Below are 24,649 nucleotides of genomic sequence, written 5' to 3'. Positions count from 1 at the left end.
CTACTTTTTCTTCTAGATTTACACTAAAATCAAATTCCTCTCACCACTACCTCAAAAAGTAAAAAATGAAAGGGAGATTGTTATTACATTTCCATTAAACTTGGGAAATAACAATATAAAAATGTTATCGTTCACACTTGAAACCAGTCTGTGAATTTGTTTTTTATAGTTCTCTCTTTTAAAAGTTTATGTTTGAGTTAATGATTGCTTACATTTATACTGCTGATTTATGTTAATGTTTATATGTTTTAATATTTTACCAATTATTTTTATTTAGGTTTTCATTGACTACTTTGGGTTTTTAAACTATAAAAATATTTTTTCAATACATAATGTTGTATCTCTTTTTTCATTCTATATAGCTTTTCTTTCCTTGGTATGTTTTATTACATTGATCAGAGTTTTAAAAATACTATTAAATGATATTATTATGGCAAAACCATTATAGCAACTTTCATCCCATCCTGTTTTAAATATGTACATTTTTAGAATTCTTAATTAATTTTGATATTAATAATTAAGATAAAATATTTTATTCTATTTTCAACATTTTTTCAGGAACAGATAGTAAATTTTCTCTTCTGCTTTCAAAAAATGTATTAAATTAATAATTTATTTCTTATTTAACCTACTGATACAAAGTATTTCACTTGTATAGCTCCTAAATTTGTAAACTTTTGTACTGCTTGTATATATATTATTTTGCTGTGGTAAGTAATACTGTATTTTTAAAACAGAATGTATAAATTATTTTTTATTTGTAGTTATTTAATGCATACTCTTTCAGTACTATTATTCCTTCAGTAGAACGACATTATTAACAAGTATAAAATAGTCCCTTTTGTCATGATTACTGTTTTGGAGTTTTTCTGCCAAAAATTCTGCCCTGTTTGATATTCATATTGTATTTTTGATTTGGATGTGAACATGTTAGGCTGGAAAAAACTTTGCCATTAAAAAATAATTCTGTGTTCTTTTCCTTTACGTATGACTTTTTTAAGCACCACCAAACCATTAGACTTTGATTTTAATTTAATATAAGGATCTTTCCATTTGAATAGGAAAATTTAAGCCATTTATACTTGTCATATTTTTTAAGCTTGATTGGACTTAAACTTTCTTCTCTTCAATAATTCCTTGTTGTTGCCTTTCATTTTGTCTTTTGAATGGACTATGTTTGCTTTTTTATCTTTGATAATTATTTAGAAAATAGATATCCTGCTTTCAATTCTACTAGTGCCGACATTAAATTGTCTACAACTATACTTTTATATGCATTCTTATTTAATGACTTGAAAATAAAGCAAAAATGCTGCTTCTTATAATGCTTTTATTTCCTTCCTGTCCTCTTTCCATATTGTGATCACTAGGTATAGATGCTTTATTTAAAAATGTAAAACCCTCCAGGATTATTTTATTGAAAACATTGCTCCCTTAGTAAAAAATATCTAGCTATCAGCATCAATTCCCAATTCACTTTGATTTCACTATATTTCACTTATTTTGTCTTTGCCTTCAATGCTTAGTATTAATCTTTTTTATTGGAATTTCTTATTCTTGAGTTTTTATACTACCTCACCTCTCAGTGATCTGGACAATATTTCCTGCAATTTTTAAGGAAAAGACATTCGGTTGTTATGTTCTCTGATACCTGGAAGATTTTGTTATTCTGTTGCTTTTATGTATAAGCTGATAATTGGGTAGGCATAAAACGTTTTATAGAACAACACCATTTCTACATAAATAGCTGTAGTTCCAAATATACCATCGTGTTAAAACTAATACTAGCTGGTACAATGCAAATGTTGTAGCTTAGTGCATCATTGGTGTTATCTCCAATTGCATTTGTAAAATATCAGGAAGTAGAAGTGATTGAACTCTCATACGGAAACAACCAGAGTTTCTAGTATACTTCAAACTTGTTTCTCTTAAAATTATGTGGACATTTACCTGTGTTCTTTAAAAAGTTCTTGTTCTATATAAGAAAGATGAAGGCAATCTACAAAAGCGTGTATGTTTTTCCTTCACATGTACTTTAAGAAATTTTCTTCGTCCCAGAAATTTAAAAATTTATTTACTTATGCCTTGCATTCCTTAATTTTGCTCAAAAGAAATCCTACAATGTCAGTGTAGTTGTTACATATGGAAAGTTTTATTTTATTATAACATTATAACAAGTTTTTACTTCTGATCCATCTGCTCTATTTTTAAAACACTCATTATTTTATTTATAAATTCAAGAAAATAATGTTTATTTAACAATAATAGTATATACTATATGTTAAGCTATGCTATATGTTAAGCTATGTCTTAGGGGTTGGGTAACAACAAGATGTTTATTGCCATTAAGTAGCTTACATTCTAAATTAGAGCTCCATAATTTGTCATCTAATTACCTCTTATCCATTTAACTCTTATTAATTTCCTTGGATGTTTATGAAGTTATGAAGTTTTTCCTCTATATCTTTGATTTCTATTTCTGCAAAACAGAAGTTACATCTCTCTAGTACATTTTTTCATTTGGTCATGATCTATTCTTATTTTCACCTGTTCTTGTTTAATTAAAAACAATATAGTCTCTCCTACTATACTGTTATAATTACATTCCTAAGAACATTCATATTATCAAATTGGTATTATAAAAACAATTATTTCCAGAGGAAAGGGGGCTAGGGGCCAAAGAGTTTCAAATGCATAACAATAAAATAATTTTTACTACAATCTCAACAATAAATGTGTTTCTATATCTCTAAATGTTTTCTAACTCAAATTACAACTAATGAATTGGTCTACAAAAACAAATATATACAATTCTAAACATTATTGATCAAGTAATGGAATACCTACAACGTAAAATAAGATCAGATCTTAGACAAGAAGTTTCCAGGACCATAAAATAAATTGCAACAGTTTGTGACTGCCCATGGTAAAGACTATAACAGTAATTGAGCAACTAGCCATTCAAACAAATGTATTCCCATTTTTTTTATGGAACAACTTCATTTCTACATGGATAACTCTAGTTCTAAATATGCCATCATGTTAAAACTAATAATAGCTGGTAAAATGCAAATGATGTATCCTAATGTATCAATGGTGTTATCTCCAACTTCATCTATAAAATCCTCAGGAAGTAGAAGTGATTGAACTCTCATTTGAAAACAACCACAGTTTCTGGTACACTTCATGTACTGGGGGATGTTAATTGCCCCACCTCCAAAAGCTGCAAGGAGACCCCACCAAGTGAGAACCCAAAAGGAAAAGAACCCATGCTTTCAGTGTGCTTCCATGAAATTCTCCTTTTCCTATAAGCTCACAGTCAGCTTCTGGCACTTACAACTAGAAAACAAAGGAGAAAACAGAAAAGATCAAAGAAAAAATATCTGTGTGGTGCTAGCATATTTCAAGTCACCCATGCACTAGGCTCAAGAAGCCATCAGATGGGAAGTTTTTTATGTTTGTCCATTAAAATGCAGAAATAAAGTTCTGGCCAGGAGCAACTTTCACTCTGTTAGCAGAGGAAACTCTCAAGATATTTCAAGGTCAGAAATACAGAAGACCATATGATAGGGTTTGGCTGTGTCTCCACCCAAATCTCATCTTGAATTTTCACATGTTGTGGGAGGAACCTGGTAGGAGGGAATTGAATCACTGGGGCAAGTCTTTCCCATGCTGTTCTCCTGATAGTGAATAAGTCTCACAAAAAAGAGGAGTTCCCCTGCACAAGTTCTCTCTCTTTGCCTGCTGCCATCCATGCAAGACATGACTTGCTCTTCCTTGCCTTCTACCATAATCGTGAGGCTTCCCTAGCCACATGGAACTGTAAGTTCAATTAAACCTCTTTCTTTTGTAAATTGCCCAGTCTCAGGTATGTCTTCATCAGCAGTGTGAAAACAAACTAATACACCATAGGACCATGTTAGCAAGCAAACTGGAATTGAAGAAGCAAACCCTCCATCCCTTCCAATAACTGAAATATTCTTATTTCTTATATTTTTATTGTTGATAGTTTTTTTTTCAGATGATTCTGAAGCTTTTAAAAAGTAACTCAGTAGAAGAGTGTTCATATACTGAAACTCACTCTGCGTCTTTCTAGAGTCCCCCAAATTGGAATCTTAAAACATGCATATTAGGATAAAAAAGCAGCTTAAAAACAGTTTTGTTAAATAAGTCTATTTTTTAATTCAATGAATGATTTTAAAAATTAGCTTCATTGTTTTTTAATTTACCATCTGTTAACTCAATAAATATGAGTTCTTAAAGTTATCCTAATTGTCTTGGAATTTGCTGTTTTTGAAGTTGATTAAAATTATTTAAATTAATTTTATTGTATATCCAGACTAGAACAAATCATGTCTGGATTTGAATAGATCTTGGCTAATAATTTATAAACAAATGTGCCCATTTCTAAAATGAACCATCTTTGTTTATGGCCCTTAATATGTATTAGTCAATACATAGATATGCAGAGAGGAGATGCCGATATTAGATAATCAAAAAAGTAAAAAACCAACACAACAATAATTGTTGCCATTAAAAACTGTGACCAAATGCAAAATTTTTGTGAACTCTGTCTCATGTCTAATGAAGAGTAAATGTACAGTGGATCTCAACTGTGATGCAATTTCTTTTCACTCCACATTACAAGAGATGAAAGAAAATGCTATGTTTCTTTAAACATCATCCTGCCTCTGGTCACAGCTTATTGGAATAAGGGTGGTCACTGGACCCAAGCAGGCCAATCAGACTCTTCCCTGAGAATTGTGAAAGACAGGAAGATGGTCCTTTCTCAGGGTGGACTGACTGAAAATGGCTCAAGAACAATTAGAAACCATGATTCACTGTGTGAACTGAGGAGGCAGGGAGCTGGACTACTCTGAGGAAGAAAGACAAAGATGAGATATGGAGAGAAAGAATTGACTTGGTTCCCTATAGCACTTCAATAGTTCTTCTATTCTTTTTTTTTTTTTTTTTTTTTTTGAGACAGAGTCTCTCTCTCTCACCCAGGCTGGAGTGCAGTGGTGCAATCTTGGCTTACTGCAACCTCCGCCTCCCAGGTTCAAGTGATTCTCCTGCCCCAGCCTCCCAAGTAGCTGGGACTACAGGTGTGTGCCACCACGCCCAGCTGATTTTTGTATTTTTAGTAGAGACAGGTTTTCACCATGTTGGCCAGGATGGTCTCAATCTCCTGGCCTCATGATCCGCCCACCTCGGCCTCCCAAAGTGCTGGGATTACAGGCGTGAGCCACTGTGCCGAGCCAGTTCTTCTATTCTTAAGGCTCCATTGCATCCCTGATTTTGGATTGCATGAAAATCCCCCATGTGCTTTGCTTAAGCTCACAGAGTCAGCTTCTATCACTGCACTGCAGCCTGGGTGATAGAGTGGAGCCCCTGTCTCAAAAACAACAAAACAAAACAAACAAAAAACTTGAACTAAATGCACAAGAGAGGAAATCCTTCTAGTAGTAATGTTTGTTTAATAAGGAATTTCCAGATATCACTCCTCACTCTGCTTTTCTTTAAACATAACTTTTTAATTAATTAATCATAGAAATGCAGTCTTGCTATGATGCCCCGGCTTGACTTGAACTCCTGAGCTAAAGGGATCCTCCTGCCTCAGCCTCCTGGGTAGCTGGGACTACAGGCACATGCCATTATGCTAAGTTTTACATTTTAACATGTAATTTACCTATTTTTTATTTTATGGTTATTGTTTTCTATGGCTCATCTAAGAAATCTTTGTCTATCTACAATTTACATTATGTTTCCCTATAAAAGCTTTATACTTGTACCTTCTACATTTGGATCTATAATCCATTGCAAATGAATTTTGTGTATGGTATGATATGGATAAATGTTGTTTTGTTTTCCCACGTGGATATCTATTTATTCCAGCATTATTTGTTGAAAACACTTTTCTCTGCACATTGGATTACTTTGGTGAAGGTAACAGTGGGGCAAGGGTATGGAAAAGCATCTGAAACTAAACTAATGACTTAATACTAAAATGAAGAGGTAGACATTTTATTTTTATTAATTGTATTAATGAGCTTAAGGAAATGATAGCAGCTTCTTCACTTAACAAAAATAGGGGTTAATAATTCATTCATCCGAATTTACTTCCATGAACTCGCATGTAATACACCTAAGACCTATCTGATAACTAAGTCAACTCAGTTTTGTCTTCCACACTGTTGCCTGCTTACCCCTTTTCATTATCTGTATAGCATGTATCCATTATGTTTCAAACATTAATTGGAACCAGGCATGCTGGGATCCAGGCTGGGGCTGTATTCATTAGATGAATACATTTGTCCAAGATTATTAAATAAACACAAACTGATAACCAAATCAAAGCAAGATTTAATTGCTGGTCCTGCCTGTTTCTTTGTCCCATTTTTTTTTGTACTAGGGCTTTGTCTTTTCAATTGCATCAACCAACTTCCAGGTTATGTCATGAAGATCCTAGAGTAGTACTATTATTGTATGCCTGAGATGACTTCAAAATGTCATGTCAAACATAACAATAATGATTTTGACTGATTCTCAAAATCCACTGATTCCCATAGCACAAGTCACAGTTCACCTGCACATAGATCACCTTCATAGCTGATATGGTTTTGCTCTGTGTCCCCACCCAAATCTCATGTCAAATTGTAATCCCCACAAGTTGAACGTGGGACCTGGTGGGAGATGACTGGATCATGGGGGTGGTTTTAATGGTTTAGCACCATCCCCCTAGTGCTGTCTCAAGATCTGATGATATCTGATGGTTTAAAAGTGTATGGCAGTTCCTCGCTTGCTCTCTCTCTCTCTCTCGTGCTGCCACGTAAGACATGTCTTGCTTTCCCTTTGCCTTCTGCCATGACTGTAAGTTTCCTGAGGCCTCTCCAGCCATGTGGAACTGTGAGTCAATTAAACCTCTGTTCTTTATAAATTACCCAGTCTCAGGTAGTTTTTATGGCAGTGTGAAAACTAATACAATAACACGTGGAAAATACTTAATATTTTCCCCAAACACTGAGGTAAATAGGTGAGGCACCTGGCACTGGGACTGTGACCATCTTAGGTACTTCTCAGCCCCTGCTTTGTCACATTGAGGGCTGAATGCCTCAATGTCTTGGAATACTGGTTATATTTTTGTAACATTTTTGGATCATTCATCTCTAAATACGTCTTAAAAATGCTCAGTAGTGGAAGGAGATCTATAGTTTTGGCTAAAAAGCACCCATTTTCCTTATTTCTAAAAAAATTAATTCCAATTTGTCTTGGAGAACCATCCCACCTTCACGTCCAAGCCCACATGGTTTGAGTTGAGTGACTGTACTCCCAAATCCAAGGTGGGCATTTGACTCAAGGCTGCTGAGGTGTGAATCACAGGTGCTGACCATGGTGATGAGTGCAGGTACGGGTACCTGACATAATCTAATACAGTCAAGTTGGGTGTAGTTTCTTTAGCTGGAAAATTTGAGAAAAAGGAATACTCTTTGTGCTGGGGTTTCTATGTCAGAAGAATGGAAGCTAGGAGAAAAGGCAGATTAAGAATGAAGTTCTTAAAAATGAACTCCTTAAAGGAAAAACCAGACTAAGTATAAAGTTAAAAGAGAAGAAAGCATAACCAAAAGATGGTTGGTGACATTATTTGAACAGCTAGATCTAATTATGCCTTAAGCAGTCCTTGCATTGTATTTTCCAATTTATGTGCGGGGAGGGGAAGAGAGGGGGGACAAAAAATGAAGCAAAATAAAAAATAAAACCTTTCTTTTTAAGTTGGATTTTTGCTCCTTACAACCCAAGCCCCAAATCCATGTGGATTGCTGAATAGCATCTGGTTCTACCAAATCTGAATTTCTGGGCATGGACTCAAAGAACCTGCATTTTAAACAAAAACTCTATTTAATTCCATACACAATAAAGTTTAAGTTTAAGATCACATCTTTGTTTTGCAGCTGAGGAAACTGAGACTTTAACAAAGTGTCTTTCCCAAGATCATTCAACATTATCTATTTATTCAAGGTGTGGAGGATTATCAGTGAAAAGGACAAAAATCTCTCTCTTTATGGACATTAATAAGCCAGCTGGTTAGTAACAGAATGGGAAATAGAATTCAGTTCAGCTCTTTTCTTTTTTGTGACTTGATTTCCCTAAGGTCATGCTCTAATAATTTTCTTCTTTACCCCAACACATTTCTGGTTTAAAATCTGAACATTTAAATGGCAAAGATTCTGCACTTGGGCAGCATTCATAGCACATAAATACAGGAGGTACTTTCACAGTTTTGAGGCAAATGTAACTAATGTAACTAGTGTATATGGTCTGCTAATCATAAGCATTTCCACCAACCTGATAAAGGAGAGAGTGCAGCAAAAGGAAGAAAATGCAGTTCCCATTCTTCCCCCCAAAATCCGAAGCAGCTGAAAGATCTTTAAAGACTCTTGTTTTTCTTTAAAATTCATGCAAAATGCTACAGTTAATTCCATTATATGTGTCACTGTTTTCATAAGAAAATAATTTCTAAAATCCTCAAGTAAAAAATAAATATTCCAGAAATAGAAGCCATAATTCTTCTTTGGCTTGTGTACCCCCAGCACAACATCATGTCATCCAGGAGTTAAGTACTTATATCCCACTTACATCCTAGTAAATTCATTTTTCTATTCTGAAGCACTCTGCACCTACTAACCCCATCTACTAACTATTAGCATCCCTGTAACATGGATGAGGAAATTGAGGCATAAAGAAATTAGGAGATTTGCTCTAGGTCATATAGGTAGCAACTAATTGAACCAGGATTAGAATCCAGACAGTTGGACACCTAAAGTGGCTTTGCCTAGATATATTTATTTACTTCAAAGTTCACATAAAATATAATTTGCTCATGCTGCCCCTTCATATTCAAAACTCACAGAACACATAAAATGGATGATTGTTATTGTTTATAAGTTAGACAAAACAACCCAGGAACGTTGACTTTCTTTCAGTCAAGAAGATCGAATAAAATTTGTAATCTGTACAGCCAAGTTGTCAAGAACTTAAAGACCTGATGGCCCAGTGAATTGAATGACTTTAAGAATCTGGATGTACCCATGGGACCAAATCTACAAGAAAATGGTCAGCATGCGTTATGAAAGGATACCTAGTATTTCTAACATTATAATTGCTATAGGAAAGTGTGGGGTGTTGCTGCATATTTCTGACTATTGAGTGGCAGCAAGTCTGGCATGAAAGCAAGAGAGCAGCTAGGAAGAGTAAGTAATTAGTGGACTCAATTAAAAAAATGACAAAAATTAAATATCCTCAAGACAGTCCTTAGGCACATGGCTATGGGATAGGTTGAGATAAAACAGGCAATAGTCTTCCTTTATTTGAGGTTTCTCTTCTGGAGTTTCAGTTACCTGAGGTCAATTGCAGTCTGAAAATAGGTGAGTACAGTGTAATAAGATAACTTTGAAAGAGAGAGATCATAGTCTCTTTTATTACAGTGTATCATAACTATTCAATTTTATTATTAGCTATTGTTAGTAATATCTTACTTTGCCTAATTTATAAATTAAACTTCATCACAGGTATGCATGTATAGGACAAAACAGTATACATACAGTTCAGTACTATCCACAGTTTCAGGTATCCACTGGGGATCTTGGAACATATAACTTGCAGATAAAGAGTGGCTACTATTCTCCAATGGGTATAAACACTTTGACCTTCAGTAGAAATATACATGCAAAAGCTATACAAAATTTGTCTGTAGGTCAAAATTAGCTTAAGGACTAACAGTGTACTTCAAAATATGGATAAGTTGACAACATTTAATATTCAATTTTTCATATACATCTAAATTTCCTGCTTTTCTTTGGAGAATGGAGGCACCAATGGCATTTACTATCCCATTTGGACAGAGGATATATTCTTCACATTGCCACAGCCCCACGACTGCTTATAGTCTTAACTTGGTCTGCTTTAGTCATGTACATCCATGCATGGCCCAAGGTAGACATAAGAGTTTGCAGTTCCTGATGTATGGGATAATGTCCAAACTCCAGAGAATGTCTGCAAGGCCCTTCAGAATTTTCAGCCTTTACAAAGACCCCATGCGCCAGCCTCACTGAATTCCTTACAGTTCCATAAACAATAAGCTTTGTCATGTTCAGTGCCTTTGTCCATGCTGGTCTCCTTGGTTGAAATATCCCCTCTCTCCCTCCTCTTTCTGCCTGGAGAAGTCTCACTTATCCTCAAGACTTAGTTTAAGTGTCAATTCCTCTATGGAACTTTTCTAAATCCTGCCAGCTAGCTATTTGCTTCTTTCTAAATGTTCACATAACACTTTGTGCTTCTATTAGCATTATAATGACTTTTAATTCTGTCTGCCCAATCAGAAAATGTGTTTCTTGAAGAGGAGAACTCTTAATCATCTCCATATCCCCAATCCTTAAAAGAGTGCCTGCCTTCTACTAGGTAGAAAATGAATATTTATTGAATGAACAAAAGTAGGATAAATGAATGAATGAAGGATTTTTAAAATTTGTGTTACAAAATCATATAACACATTTGATGTTCACAACAAGGGAAGTAGCTACTCAGACCAAATTTCAAATTTTGATAATGACCATGACATTTTCAGAAAACAGTTGTTAAAAATGCCTGTTTATTATACCCTTGCCAGGAAAATAAGTCCTGAGAAAATACAATGTATATAATATTAGTAAATATAAAAGAGTGACATAAAATTGATAAGAGGCCACACTTTGTTAGGGGTTCTAAGGGTACAGGAGGTTGTAGTGTTGCATTCAAAGAGACAGTAGAGAGTAAAAGAAGTCACACAATGTGTTGCAGGAAGTCAGGGACCCCAAACAGAGGGACTGGCTGGAGTCACAGCAGAGGAACATAAATTGTGAAGATTTCACTTTAATATGGACACATATCAGTTCCCAAAATTAATAGTTTTATAATTTCTTACACCTGTCTTTACTGCAATCTCTGAACATAAATTGTGAAGATTTCATGGACATTTATCAGTTCCCAAAATTAATACTTTTATAACTTCTTATGCCTGTCTTTAATCTCTTAATCCTGTTATCTTCGTAAGCTGAGAATGTACATCACCTCAGGACCACTATTGTGTTAAACTGTACAAATTGATTGTAAAACATGTGTGCTTGAACAATGTGAAATCACTGCACCTTGAAAAAGAACGGAGTAACAGCAATTTTCAGGGAACAAGGGAAGACAACTGTAAGGTCTGACTGCCTGTGGGGTTGGGAAAAAAGAGCCATATTTTTCTTCTTGCAGAGAGCCTATAAACAGATGTGCAAGTAGGAGAGATATCGCTAAATTCTTTTCCTAGCAAGGAATATAATATTAAGACCCTAGGAAAAGAATTGCATTCCTGGGGGGAGGTCTACAAATGGCCACTCCGGGAGTGTCTGTCCTATGTGGTTGAGATAAGGACTGAGATATGCCCTGGTCTCCTGCAGTACCCTCAGGCTTACTAGGATTGGGAAACACCAGCCCTGGTAAATTTGAGGTCAGACCGGTTCTCTGCTCTCGAACCCTGTTTTCTGTTAAGATGTTTATCAAGACAATACGTGCACCGCTGAATATAGACCCTTATCAGGAGTTTCTGATTTTGCTCTGGTCCTGTTTCCTCAGAAGCATGTGATCTTTGCTCTGCCTTTTGCCCTTTGAAGCAGGTGATCTTTGTGACCTACTCCCTGTTCATACACACCTTCCCCTTTTGAAATCCCTAATAAAAACTTGCAGGTTTTGCAGCTCAGGTGGGCATCACGGATCTACTGATATGTGATGTCATCCCCAGCGGCCCAGCTGTAAAATTCTTCTCTTTGTATTCTTTCTCTTTATTGCTCAGACTGGCCGACACTTAGGGAAAATATAAAGAATCTATGTTGAAATATTGGGGGCGGGTTCCCCTGATAACAATGTTTCCCTCTAAGCTGGTGGCTACTCTGGCAGTTTGCCCTAAAAAATGGAAGACTTGGGCCATAAAGCTACAGGAAGAGACTGTTTAGCTGGCAGGTTATCATATGGACAAGGATTACTACCAGTAGCAGTAGTCTGCAGAATTGTGTACCACAGCTCTCTACTGTTGGGTACAAGATAGGCTGCACTATCCGACCTTCTTGTCATGATTCTTTGGAGCCACACAACTAATCCTGGTTAATTCTTTGTGAGGCCATATGATGTATGGCATTTCTGGGCCATAGCATTTAAATGTCTGCATGAAACCCTCCAGAGTGATCTTTATTTTTGCCATAACAACATGAAACATTCAAGATGGCAACTGTTCCATTAGCCAGGGACCTGGAGTGACAGACATGGAACAGACCAGCTGAACTGCAATGGATTCAAACCATAACCAAGAAAACGTTTGCTGTTACAGGCCACTAAAAAATTGGAATTGTTACTCCAGCACATTGCCTATCTTGACTGATAAACAAATTTGTTCTGTTTGGCTGCAACTGGCAGGACGAAGACTAACGGTTGGAAGTTTCAGGAAGACTAATTCTGTGCAATATAAGGTAAAAAAATATATATAAGGTAAAAACATAATAAAGTATATAAAGATGAAATACTTTTGAAATTATCCATTCACTTGCACAATATATAGTGAACTCTATTCTCTGGTAAGTACGGTATAGGTAAAAATCCTTGCCTTAATGGCGGTAAGTAGTAAGTTCCCCTTCACACCCAAAATATCTGCATTGAATGGCCTCTAAAGATTTGACAGAACAAATTAACTTTAAAAATACCTTCCAACCTAGAGCTTTAGGATCTCTGATTCCTCTGGTCTTAAGAGAAAAATATGTACATATATATATATATTTTTTCTTCCTCAAGTATTTCTTTGATTCAAACCACTAACTGATCCATTGTCTTTTCACATTTTGATGTCTTTTTTCCAGCAAATAACTTCCTTCAAGGCCAATGCTGTTTTATCCTTTCCCTTGATCTTTCTTCTAATATTTAGTAGGCAATATTTTATTGTCTATTCTTTTAAGGAAATAACCAGTGCAGCTTTTGATACCAGCTACTATTATTGGCCATTTGATATGTTCCAGATTTGTCTTTCAGTCATTTAAGTCACATTTGGACTTGTTAAAAAAATCTAGTAGCACAAATGTATTATTGTGTTAGTTCATTTGAGGTGCTACAACAAATTATCTTTGACTGGGTAATTTATAAGCAACAGAAATTTATTGCTCACAGTTCTGGAAGCTGAGGAGTCCAAGATTACAGCACCAGCAGATTCAGTATCTGGTGAAGGCTCACTCCTTGCTTCACAGATGGCACTTTTGTTGCTGTGTCCTCACACAGTGGAAGGGGCAAGGTAGCTAGATTCAGCCTGTCTTACAAAGGCACTCCTGTCACTCATGAGGGTTGAAGCCTTCATGACTTAATCACTTCCCAAAGGCCCTACTTCTTAATACCATCACTTTTGATATTAGGTTCTAACACATGAACCCCAATATTGGGGGAACACTAACATTCAGACCATAGCAACTAACCAAATAATCCAGATTAAATGCCCCTTTCTTCTGAAAAATGATCTTAGCCTTGTGCTATGAAATTTGTGGCCAACTACAATATTTTATTAACATCTGAGCTGTAAGGCTTAAGAGTTTATCAAACTATGTCATTTAATGCACTGCACCCAGAATTGCATAATTCTGTATTCTAACAGAGCCCATGTGCTTTCTATACAAGACTATTGGGAGGAAAAAGCAAATTCAAAAAATGAGGGGCAAAATGGTCTCGGTTCAACTCAGAGGAGCATATCATACTTTCAGTTATAGGGGCTTGGCTGATAACTTGGGGAAGCAGATGAGTATATAAGAGTGTAAGAAAGAAAAAAAAACCTTTTTTAAAAATTTCAAATTTCTGTTCAGCTTCATTTCAGGCTTTCAGAATTGGAAAATCAACTGCCTGCTACAATAAATTACTGTTAAGCAGTAATTAAATACCGAGAATGTATTTTTTTCCATTCCAAACCTGATGTCTTTCTCAGACACAGATATTGTTACTGGTTAGGAAATGCAGCATTTTGGTAAATTAAGGCAGGAGGATTTAATGTCTCCTGGGACCTGTGGGGACAGAAAGTGATCCAAGAAGGAAAACGTTTTACTATGTTTTGCTCATTATAATCATTTATACCTTTTTGCTTTGCTTTACAAAACTAGGAGTTGTGGTGGGCACTTGTATCTTTAAAAAGGAGGGTTGGTTCCCTAAAAGAACCCTAATTCATAATTTTAAAAAATTCCTATATGTTTGGAATTGTGGTCTCGGCATAAAATGATGATCAACTGAAAAAAGATGAATAACTTCCAGTGAATTCAATAACCATGGATGAGGGGAAAAAAGCAGCATGAATACATGCTGTATTCTCCTTTATTTAGAAAAAGCACACAAAAATACAGCAGAGTTGATGTGTTTGTCACCAGGGCTTGAAAGTCGAATCAACCACTGTGTAAAAGATAAAATAAGACTGCACGGATATCAGGATTTTCCCAGCGTGCTTTATTCATAGCCATCTGACACAACAGGACCTAACAGAGCTTTTAGGAAAAACTGAATTCTCAGCCCACAATCACTTTCCAGGAACTTCCCTGCAAACAGTGCTGTGCGCTGGCAGGATGGAAATCTTAGCAATCTCCCTCCTGCTTCCATAGTTTCCTCCTCTCTAAATAAAATTATTTATGGGGACTTAATGAGAGAGCAAGCCTTGTGTGAAAGGAATTCAAGAAAGTGCGGCTTCTAAAAATACACCTAGGCAGCTCTACAGTCCTTATTGTTACAACCTGACGTTTTGCAGTTCATGCCATGAACCTAACTACACTTCTTGCCAAATACACACAAGCGTACAAAGAAGAGGAAAAGTAAAAACTATGTTACTATGTTTTATCTTTCTGCAATCCCTTTGAGTAAACAGTAGTAATTTTCTGTTGACATACTCAATGCAAATTTCCCAAAGGCTACACAATACAAAACAAAAGACCTGTTAGCTTCCTCAGAGCTGGGGGGAGGAGAGGCAGGGGGAGAGAAATAAAGTTGATGGAGCTCCAGTTTCTCCTAAGCCTGCAGTCCTGAGCCTCCAGTCACCCTAGTCTTTTTGTAGAGATTTTTTGAGTTTCAGTCTCCACTTGGGAAGGTTCCTTGGCCCCTTCTCTCCCAATGTCAATAAAACCCTCATCTCTCCCGCTTTGCCCCCAGCTTTTTGGGGAAATTGGACCTTGCCTAGGCGTCTTGTTCCAGTGGGTTGAAAAGTACAGCTGGTGATGTGAGGATAAATATTTAAACTAATGGGCTGGGTCACAGCGTGGGGGTCTTCAAGAGAGGGCCTCCTCCTCCTTCCGCCACGTGCTCCTCACTTGGGGTGCAGGGCTCCTGGACAAGGGGCTAAGACGGACGAGGGTGGGATGAAGGGAGATGGACAGACCAGACTGTAAGTGAAGGAGGCCCTCTAGGAAACATCGTCTCGACCGAACATTGACGGAGAAAAAAAAAATGGCCCAAATGCCCCTAGTGGGGAAGCATACACCCCACGCAGGCTGGGTTGGGGTGGGGGTGCTTCGCGGCCTCTCACCTGACTTCCTCCTCCGCCTGCACACACACTACAGTAACCCCCTCTACTCACCCCCCAAAACCCAGCCAAACAACAAGCAACAAGAGGAAGCCGCAGGCGACAAGAGGAGGAGTGCGCGTGTTGGGGGCCCCCGGAGAGGTGAGGGGGCAGGGTTGGCGGGCGACGAGAACCGCGCCGCGCACCCCAAGCGCACCCCCAAGCGCCCACACTTACCCCTCGAGGCTGAGGGTCCTGTCTTCCGCGCCAACCCCCGTGTGCGCCCCCTGGCCCGCCCTCGCCCCTCCGGCCCGCCGCCCCCCACACCCCGGCCGGCGCGCTGGGAGGGAGCCCGGGAGCGGTGCGCAGCAGCGGCGGCGGCGGCGGCGGCTCGGGCTCGGCTCGGCTCGGGCTTCAGTGCGCCTAGTGTCGCCAGCGGCCGCCGAGGCTCCCACCGCCAGGGGGAGAAGCCGGGCGGGCGCTGGGGAGGCGGGCCGGGCCCTGGCCGCCCCGCTGGCCAGCCCGCGCCGCACAAGCTCCGAAGCGGCGGCTACGCGGGGTCCGCCGAGCCCCCGGGCGCAGCGTGCCCGGTCCGAAGCGCCACGTCTGGATGCGCGTCCCGGGTGGCTGCGGGCTCCCGCGGGGGACGCCCCGGCCGCTCCGGTGCGCCTCCAGACTGCAGGCGCCGCGACCGACGAGACGAGAGCAGCTCCCGCCGGCCCCTTCCCCCTCCCGCCCCCGCCGCCGCCCCCTCCCCCTTCTCCCCCCCCCGCCCGTTAACATCTCCTCCCTCCCCCTCCTTCTCTTCCTTCCCTTGGCCCCGCGCGCTCGCTCGCTCGCTCCTCGCCTCGCTCTCCCCTTTAAACGCCCACTTCGTATGGGGAAAGAGGACAACTTGAAGTCAAGTTGCAATTAACTTCCGCGGCAGCCGCAGCTCCGGCGGCGGCGGCGGCGGCAGGAGAGGCAGAAGCCGCCGCCTCGGAAGTCCGACGCCGGCGCGCCCGCCCGGGGAGCCGTTCTTGGTTTCAGGCCCGCACTCGACAGCCACCGCCGCCCCCAACGTCCATGCCTGAGTGAGTTCTGCTCTTTTGCCTCCCTTTTCCCCTTGCTACTCTTGCTGTTTTATCTCTGTCCCTCTTTTTCCGGAATCAATCCAAACTTCTCCGTAGCACCCACTCCTCGTCCCCTATTGGGGCGGCTGGGCTCCCCTCTCGTGGGCGCAGGGCTTCAACGGTCTTCCGAGCCCCTTTTCTCACGCAGACGGACCTTGGAGGGGTGGGCTGGTAGAGTAGGGGAGAGCGGTCGGGATGGGGGATTTGAAGATGCCATTCGTTTTCTGTCTGGGTGTGGACACACCACCACACCTGCCCAATAGACCCTGGCTGAACAAACTCCTTCAGGTCACCGGTATGGCCCCTTTTAGAAAAGGAAAGGGGAGTGGAAAAGACCGAAGGAAGCAAATGGGGAAAAGGGGAGCCTCTCGGTGCGTTCTGGAGCCGGGCGGGCAGTAAGGTGCCTGGAGGAGTGGGCTGCGGGAGTGGTAATGTTCCCCCACCGGATCGCGAGTCTGCTCAGCATCCTTTCCCGGTCCATCTCCGCCTCCCTCCGCTCCCTGCCTGCGCGGCTGATTGTAAGCATCGGCGAAGAGGGGCCTGGGAAGTTTGTGGCAACTTCTGCATCCCGGGAGCTACTCGGGCGCCGGGGCGCTCAAGTTGGAGCCCGGAGTTTGAAAGCCGCGGCACTCCTCATTTCGAGCCCTCGCTGGCTGTAGCGAGGCCGGTCCTGGAGAGGCTGCTGGCGTGAATGTGGGTTTGGAGTTGGGCAAGAGGCAGAAGAAAGGGCCGTCCTCTTAGCAGGGGCCGGGACATCACAGGTGCAGCCTCGCAGTCCACACCGTGTTTCCCTCCTGCTGTCCAGACCCGAGCGCGGTGGCCTTTTCCTATTGCTCCAGTGCTAAGGCTCCCGGGCCGGCAGAACCGGGGTTTGGGAAACCACGACGAGAAGGACGAAGCAGGCAGGTGGCAGGTCCGGGGAGTGCCACGTGCTTACTGGGGAAACGCAGTTTCCTCTTGGGATGACCTCAGAAGACCAACAGGGGAAAGGGGCATAGGGATCTCCTTGAAAGTTTTGGCCTTGGCCTCCACTGAGGTGTTGCAAATTTCACTAACAAATGTCAACCACAGGGTCCTCTCTCAAAGTGTCCTGGTTGGCAACTTTGACCTCTGCGCCCTTCCTTGGCGAACTTTCTCAGTGGCATTCCGGACTTACAAGCAAATGTTCTAAGACTTGGACTCCACATGGTTATAAAAGAGACAGGGAAAACAGAAGGATGCCCTATTCCCCAGAGAGAACCTTACTGCTCTGACTGACTGGGTTTCCATGTTTGCATCCTTGGAGGCCAGGGGACCTGACTTTCTCAAGGGGGTGGCGGGTAGGGTAAGAATGAGTAAAATGTTACCGCTCGGTGTCAGGTTTTGTCCTAAGCAATCTGAAATTTACGGTGTTTGTACTGCTGACAGAGTAACTCATCCCGTTGAAACTTAGTTGAAATTTACACTCTATCCAAAGTGGATTTTTCTGAGATGTCAGGAATGTGAGATTTATTCTGTGGTCAAATGTAGCTGCAAAAATCAAAAACAAAAACCCATACTTTAAGTCTGAAGAAAACCAAGGTTGAGGTGTTTGCTCTAAAAACCTCTCATCTCCTGTATGGTACTACTGCTATGATTTAGCAGTAGTCCTCTATTTCTATTGCATATTATTTTCTTAGAACAGTAGTACATTCATATACTGGCTGCTCCAGTCTGCTGGCAAACATTAGCATTCAAGCTTACATTTTTGACAAATGTGCAGACAGGAATAGCATGAATAGGCATCTTAAATATTAACAACCTAAGCATCTGTTGTGAAACAAATTTAATATATTTACTCTGTTTTTCTCACATTGTTAGAAAAGGTTATAATAAGTGCATAATTTCAACTTTAGTTAGCAGAAGTAACTGGCTGTATCTTTCACTACCTCTCCAAGTGTTTATTACACAATCATCAGACATAAATACTTTAATTAACTTGGTTAAGCACATTATTAAATACACTGTAGACAATGTGTATACTATATAAAATGTAACAGTAGCAAACTATGTATTCTATTTGTACACGTTTTAAATGACTATGCATTTTATAAATATACCAAATATGTTTATTCTTCATCTTCATTTGACACTTACTACTTCATAGTTTTTTCTAATGAAAACAATATTTTAAATGTAGAGTTGTTCAGTCATAGGTAATACATAATATTTAAACAGTAGCTATAAAATACAAGGCATTGTCAAATTTGGATAATGCTACATCTAACATTATACAAGAGAAATAAAATTACAATTCAATTTTGTATTTATTTCTGAATAATGAATATAAATAATATATGAAAAAATAACGAATAGGGATTTCCCTCCTAAAGTACTACCTCCTTAAAATTTGGTGGGAGGGCAGGATGGGGGGCGGGGGGAAGATAGAGAAAGAAGACCTAAATAACTTCCAAAAGTCTGAATAGTTATTTCCAGAATCAATGCATTCCTCACTTTCCCACAAGCTGAAATATGTAATAAATAATAGTTCTTTGTATGTAAAAGTATTCAAAAGGAATGTTTTTTGTTCAGATTTGTAAGAAATTAATATATTCTTTGGTTGATAATCTACAAAAGTAGTTCTTTTGTCTCCCAGCATCTTAAGAACGACAACAAAATGAATATTGGTTTATTTCTGCAAAGAAATCTGTTGCCAGCTATATGAACCTGTGATTAAATAAGACATGATATGCTGAGTGATGGTAAAGAAATACTACATTAACTTAGTAAAGACTAAAATATCTGGAGGAGAATTTTTAGTTCTTTTTCATATGACAGGTTGTGGATTGTAAATTAGGCCTAAAAGGTCAGGTGACAGGCACCTGTTCCTCATTATTGTAAAAATATTTTGGTTACAAACACTGTTAAGCTAAACACAACATGGATATACAGCAGGGACTCTATAAAGCACTCTAGTGGGTTTTCATCTGTTCTGTAAATTTCCAAAAGGGCTATACATAGATATGCCCTTTACACACATAGTTTCTTCCATACATATTGTCTTGGATGGCTGTAATTAATATATTAGCACTTGGAATTGATGAAGTATTTAAAATAAATGCATATGACTAAAGCAATCTTCAGACTATTTCTAGACATGATGTAGTTGAATGCAAAAATGTTTTTAATCTCTTTTCCCTTTTCAATATATTGATTATCAGAATTTTGTTCATGTTATAAATAGAAACCTCCCCAGATTGCCTTTTACACTTTTTAGATAAGATGGGTTCTTATTTTAAATGCTGCCACGAAATATTTTGCTCAGTACTCATATATAAAAAGAAAATTAGTTGCTATATACTGTCATAGCTTTGTGGCATACATAAAATAGAAAAAACACGTTTTACATGAATGCTGTTAGGAAGGATATCATCATTTGATCTTCAAACTTGCCGCTTCTCTCAGGAGAGTTCAGCAATATTTCTATTGGAATTAAGGAATGGGGTTTGATTTTTATGAATGGTTTACCTTCAGATATTTCAGAGAGCAGAATAAGCATACATATTGAAAAGACCAAAGTGGCACAAGGCTGCAAAATATTAAAGGTGCCAGGTGCTTTTAATTAACAAATGAGGACTATCTCGAGTAAATCAGATAACTTGGATTAAGTTCTATGATATTTCAAAATGTTTTTCGTCTTTTTCAGTTTTGTGTGGTTTGTGCTTATTATATTAAGTATTCATTTTTAGCATTTGTGATCAGATTACAGAACAGTCATTACTCTTGCTTTTCAAATTGATTTGGTTTTCAAACTCCAAAACTCTGTGATGATTTTTACAAATTGGTTTACATTTTGACAGAACAGAGTTAAGTTAATTAATAGATCAGGCACGAAAAATCATCCACAGTAGGGTATATTTTCTGGTAAAATGAAAGTTATGTTTCAGCATGATGAGCATCAGGCTTCAGTAATCTGTTCCTCGTGTGGAATGAACACTTCCTACTTCGAGCTAGCAGGCACCTACTGTTTATTTACGCTGCATTAAACTGACAGTGCAGCAATCAGAGGAAAAATATTACTTACCTTCCTGAAGTAAATACCAGTTTATAGTTTAGTGCACGTATTTATATTCCTGTCACCACTAAATAACGGCTCTGTCTCCATTTTAATATCTACCTGTGCTATAATCCAGGGCTTCAGACTCTTCCTGGTTGGGGATAGGGGTCGAGAGGAGTTTTTCTTATCATTTCCCTATGGCAAAACTTTAAAGACAAGTAATTTCATCTTTTCATTTCTGTCATGTGAGAACCAGTTGAAAGAAATGTTATGCACTTTTACTTTGCATACCTCAACTATAACATCAAAACCCCAAAAGAATCTGCATGCCACTTAAAATAGTCATCTTAAAGCAACCTCAGGATAAATATGTTCAAACACATTCAAATGTGTTTTGCTAAATTAACTTTCTACAAAGTTCCAAAAAGATTAAACTATTTGATTCCTCAGATAATAACTTCAATAAAGTGTCTCCTCTTCCAAGTCTTAGATGGAATGTTTAAGTTTTTAATGGAGTTCTGAAAATATGAATATAAAGTGGGGCTCATTGATTGATTTATTGATTGACTCGCTAAGCTTTTCTCTGAAAATATTCTTAACTCCTTCATTTGACTTCTTGTTAATCTGCCATCCTTAAAATAAGGGAGATTTCTACTTTGTTGTAATACTAAATGTATTTGTTGTTTTTCTTTTATGATAAAAATCCTTTCTTTTTCAAGACCCCTTTGAAACATCAAAATACTGTTAAAGTTGAATTCCAGAACTCACAATTAACTTGAGAAAAGGCTTATTTTCACTTAAATTATCTAAAAAGCGGTTACACTTAACTGTCTATACACAGTTATCAATACCTAGTCACATATTCCACTGACATCAGGGTAGAATATGGTCTTAATAACAACATATAAATCAAATCTGTTACATAAGGTTCTCCTTCACTACACTGAAGAAAAAGTGTCTACTATAGTAATTTATATATCGTTCCTAAATGCTGTTCTCAGTGGTAAGTCTATTTAAACTTGATGTCTTCATAGAGTGTGATCAACACATTAACACACATTATTTCATACTTTTGAACTTATGCCAATGGTATCTTTTGCTGTTTATTTTTTTAAGTCTTTTTTAAGATTAGATATTTCAGAGTAAATAGATACAGATTGTGTGTGTATATATTCAGGGTGAGATTTAGTAGTGTAGCATTTCTTCAACATATTGGCCTATTTTTATGCTTTCAAGTTATTTTGTATCACTTTTACAGTTGTTGCAGTTTGAAAGTTCAGAAGCGAAATTCTAATAACCTCTTTCAATGGACTTTCAAGGATGTAATTCAGTTTATGCGGTGATGTAGTTTAGTTACAAGAGATGAAAATTAGTTAACTGGTACCTCAGGATTTATGTCCCTGGTTTCTGCTGAAATTTATTCAGTCCAGTTATTTGACATTTGGTAGAGAAGTGGCTTGTAATCAAAAATTAAGAGTTGGTTCAGTTTCCAGTGGAGAAAAGATTTCGCTGGATAAAACATTTAACTGTGCAATATTTTATTACACTCCTCACTCATTTTAGAGCCTGCTTATTGTTGCACACATTTTTGAATACCTAGGGGTGCAGGTCCCCAGATGAGGCTGAAATGCTTGCGGAAGAAGCAGATGTCAGGCTGCACCTCGCTGTGCCTTTACTAGTACCTATGTGGACTTAAGCTGCCCGCCCCCCGCACCCCTTTCCCCCAGGTGTGCAGGAAGTAGAGGGCGTTATACTGGGTGAAGTGGGTGGACTCTACCCAGAGCTATGACCTGATTTGTGACGCACCCTCAGAACTGCAGTAATGGTCCAGCTGCTTCACAGGCAACTGGTAACCACCTCATTTGGGGATGTTTCTGCCTTGCTAGCAGTGCCAGAGAGAACTTCATCATTGTCACCTCATCAAAGACTACTTTTTCAGACATCTCCTGTAGGGCTAGATTCAGAGAGCAGCTTCTGATATTTGGAGGGTAAGTGCCAGAAAAGTTACTGTAATGTTACATGTGGAGAATCAGGACTCCAGCCACAGTGACAGATAGGCATTGAGTGTTCGGGGGAGGGCTTTCTGTTGGGATGTTGCTTTTTCTCAGCTCTAGAAAATTTGGGACCAGATACTAAGAAAAATTCTTCAGTGGGCATTCTTTTTTGGGTGGTGAGATACAGTAGCAAGTTCCCAGGGAGAATTATTAGACCTTCTTGAAATATTTAAAGAAAAGGTAGTCAGTAATCTGTGTGAGGGGGCATTCTTTAGATGCAGTTTTCCTGGAAGCTAGGCATGTAGTAGAGTTGATTGCTAGAGATTCCTCTATAGTCTTATTCATTGGTTCCTGATATGCCATTAAGAGCATGTAAATGACAATTTGGCCTTTTAATGTTTATAATGTTAAGGACTTTAAGGCAAAAGAGGTTTTATGTTATAAATATTTTATTGTAATAATTATTATAAATAGAACCTAGTGTATGCAGATATCTTTGAAATGGAGATAGTCTTGAATATAGCATATCCATAATTAGCTGTTTGATATTGAATGCAATTGAGTTTTCCTGTTCTAGTGAAACAGACAATGGAAATCATTGGGGATTAACAACAAGGCTATGTGATTCTTGATATAGCAAGCCTTTCTTTCCCCCAGAAAATATTTTATCAATGAATGAAGTACTAAATTAAGATGCATACAGTTTTAAATTTTTAAAAAATCTATAGAATTTGTAAAATAATCCAAATGCTTCCCATTGTATTTTCACCAACTGAAATGATACTTAGATGTACTGTTTAATGGTAGACAGTGATCTCCAGACTGTGGGAGGAAAAAACAATATTTTAATAACTATGTTTTAAAAATTTTCTTAGAGTTGCATTTCCCTTTGGGTGGTTCAAGAGGACTCAGAAACAATTTAGAACATTATCTTAAAAGTTTAACAATGACAGTTTGTATAGAATCACTGTATTTTAATAATACTGTATGCTTATTAGTGTTATTAGAGCAGTAGACAGTTAATTACAGCCTTTTCTGAGACATGTTAACTATATATTAACAACCATGTTAAAAAAGAATGATGTATACTCTTAACATACAAGCGGCTGCTTGCTTGATTCTTTAAAAAAAATCTTTTAGAATGTATGGAGTCAGGGTTTTGGTTCAGAATTATGAAAGGTTTTCTACTAAAGCAACTTAATTTTAAAACTTTTCACTGGGTTATAAAATTTTTCTCCTGTTTTTTTTTCTTTCCAGTGTCATTAGAAATTATTGCTCCTCAGTGGTTTTAGTTTTTCCAAATTGTATTTTGAGATACCCATGTTTTCTTGTTTTTTGATGACTTCGGCCAACATAATCCATTAAAAGCTTATTTAATTGATTTTGCTCCTCTTAATACTTCTTTTTGTGGAATAATTTTAGTCACTTTTTCTTTAGCCAAATTGTGATTACTTAAAACTCTATATAACCTAATATTCTACATACATTTCAGCAGTTAATCACAGAGGTAGTTCTAAGATTATTTCATTGTCTAAATCTCAAACCTGGATTTTCACTATGGCTTCTAGAATGGCAAAACAATGGGTTACTGAAACTAGAGGGATTTAAAGCTGGACTTAGGCTTACTTAGACAATTCTATCAAATTGGTTAACTATTTGAGTTATCTTGGTTGATTTGAATTTGTAGATCTTGTAACCTCGTAATATGGCTCTTAAAAACGCACTAGTATTCCCACTTTCTGAAGTTTGTAGAAGCTGCTATATATTTCTGTAAGTATTAAACTACAAAAAAGTAAGTAAGTAATAAGGTATGTCTGTGTTATATAAAACAGAAAGTTCATAGTTAGCATTCTGTGCCTTGTACGTATTGAGCACTCATTAAAGAATTGCTAAATTAATGATAAAATATAAAATGTAGCTTGTGCCGATAAAGATTTATTGGCAAAGAGAATTT

The 24,649-nt window shown here is 38.3% G+C and overlaps 1 protein-coding gene and 1 long non-coding RNA gene across 11 annotated transcripts in view, besides 1 other annotated feature; one reads left to right on the top strand and one right to left on the bottom strand.

Moving 5' to 3' along the window:
- The window catches only part of SATB1-AS1 (SATB1 antisense RNA 1), an 84,878-nt gene extending 68,861 nt beyond the window's left edge, over positions 1-16,017 (bottom strand). The window contains exon 1 of the long non-coding RNA NR_125803.1: positions 15,812-16,017. This is a non-coding gene — a long non-coding RNA (SATB1 antisense RNA 1). The remainder of the gene's footprint in view (positions 1-15,811) is intronic.
- The window catches only part of SATB1 (SATB homeobox 1), a 100,216-nt gene continuing 91,228 nt past the window's right edge, over positions 15,662-24,649 (top strand). For 4 of the 10 annotated variants that reach the window (NM_001322876.2, NM_001322873.2, NM_001322871.2 and 1 more), the window contains exon 1: positions 16,382-16,647. The gene's annotated coding sequence lies outside the window, so the exon portion shown is untranslated. Of the gene's footprint in view, positions 15,737-16,381; positions 16,648-17,135; positions 17,205-22,517; positions 22,690-24,649 lie in introns of those variants that run through there. The other 6 variants (NM_001322874.2, XM_011533989.3, NM_001131010.4 and 3 more) reach the window with 4 other exon arrangements.
- Positions 15,892-16,111: a silencer, noted in NCBI's record as "silent region_14129". NCBI's record gives its function as "represses an Ori minimal core promoter by ATAC-STARR-seq in GM12878 lymphoblastoid cells {active_cell/tissue: GM12878}" and the evidence as "EXISTENCE:reporter gene assay evidence [ECO:0000049][PMID:35858748]".

The sequence above is a fragment of the Homo sapiens genome, chromosome 3 (genome assembly GCF_000001405.40).
Source record: "Homo sapiens chromosome 3, GRCh38.p14 Primary Assembly".
Classification (NCBI taxonomy): domain Eukaryota; kingdom Metazoa; phylum Chordata; class Mammalia; order Primates; family Hominidae; genus Homo; species Homo sapiens.
The sequence above is the reverse complement of the archived record's forward strand: the minus strand, read 5'-3'. Positions and strand labels throughout refer to the sequence as shown.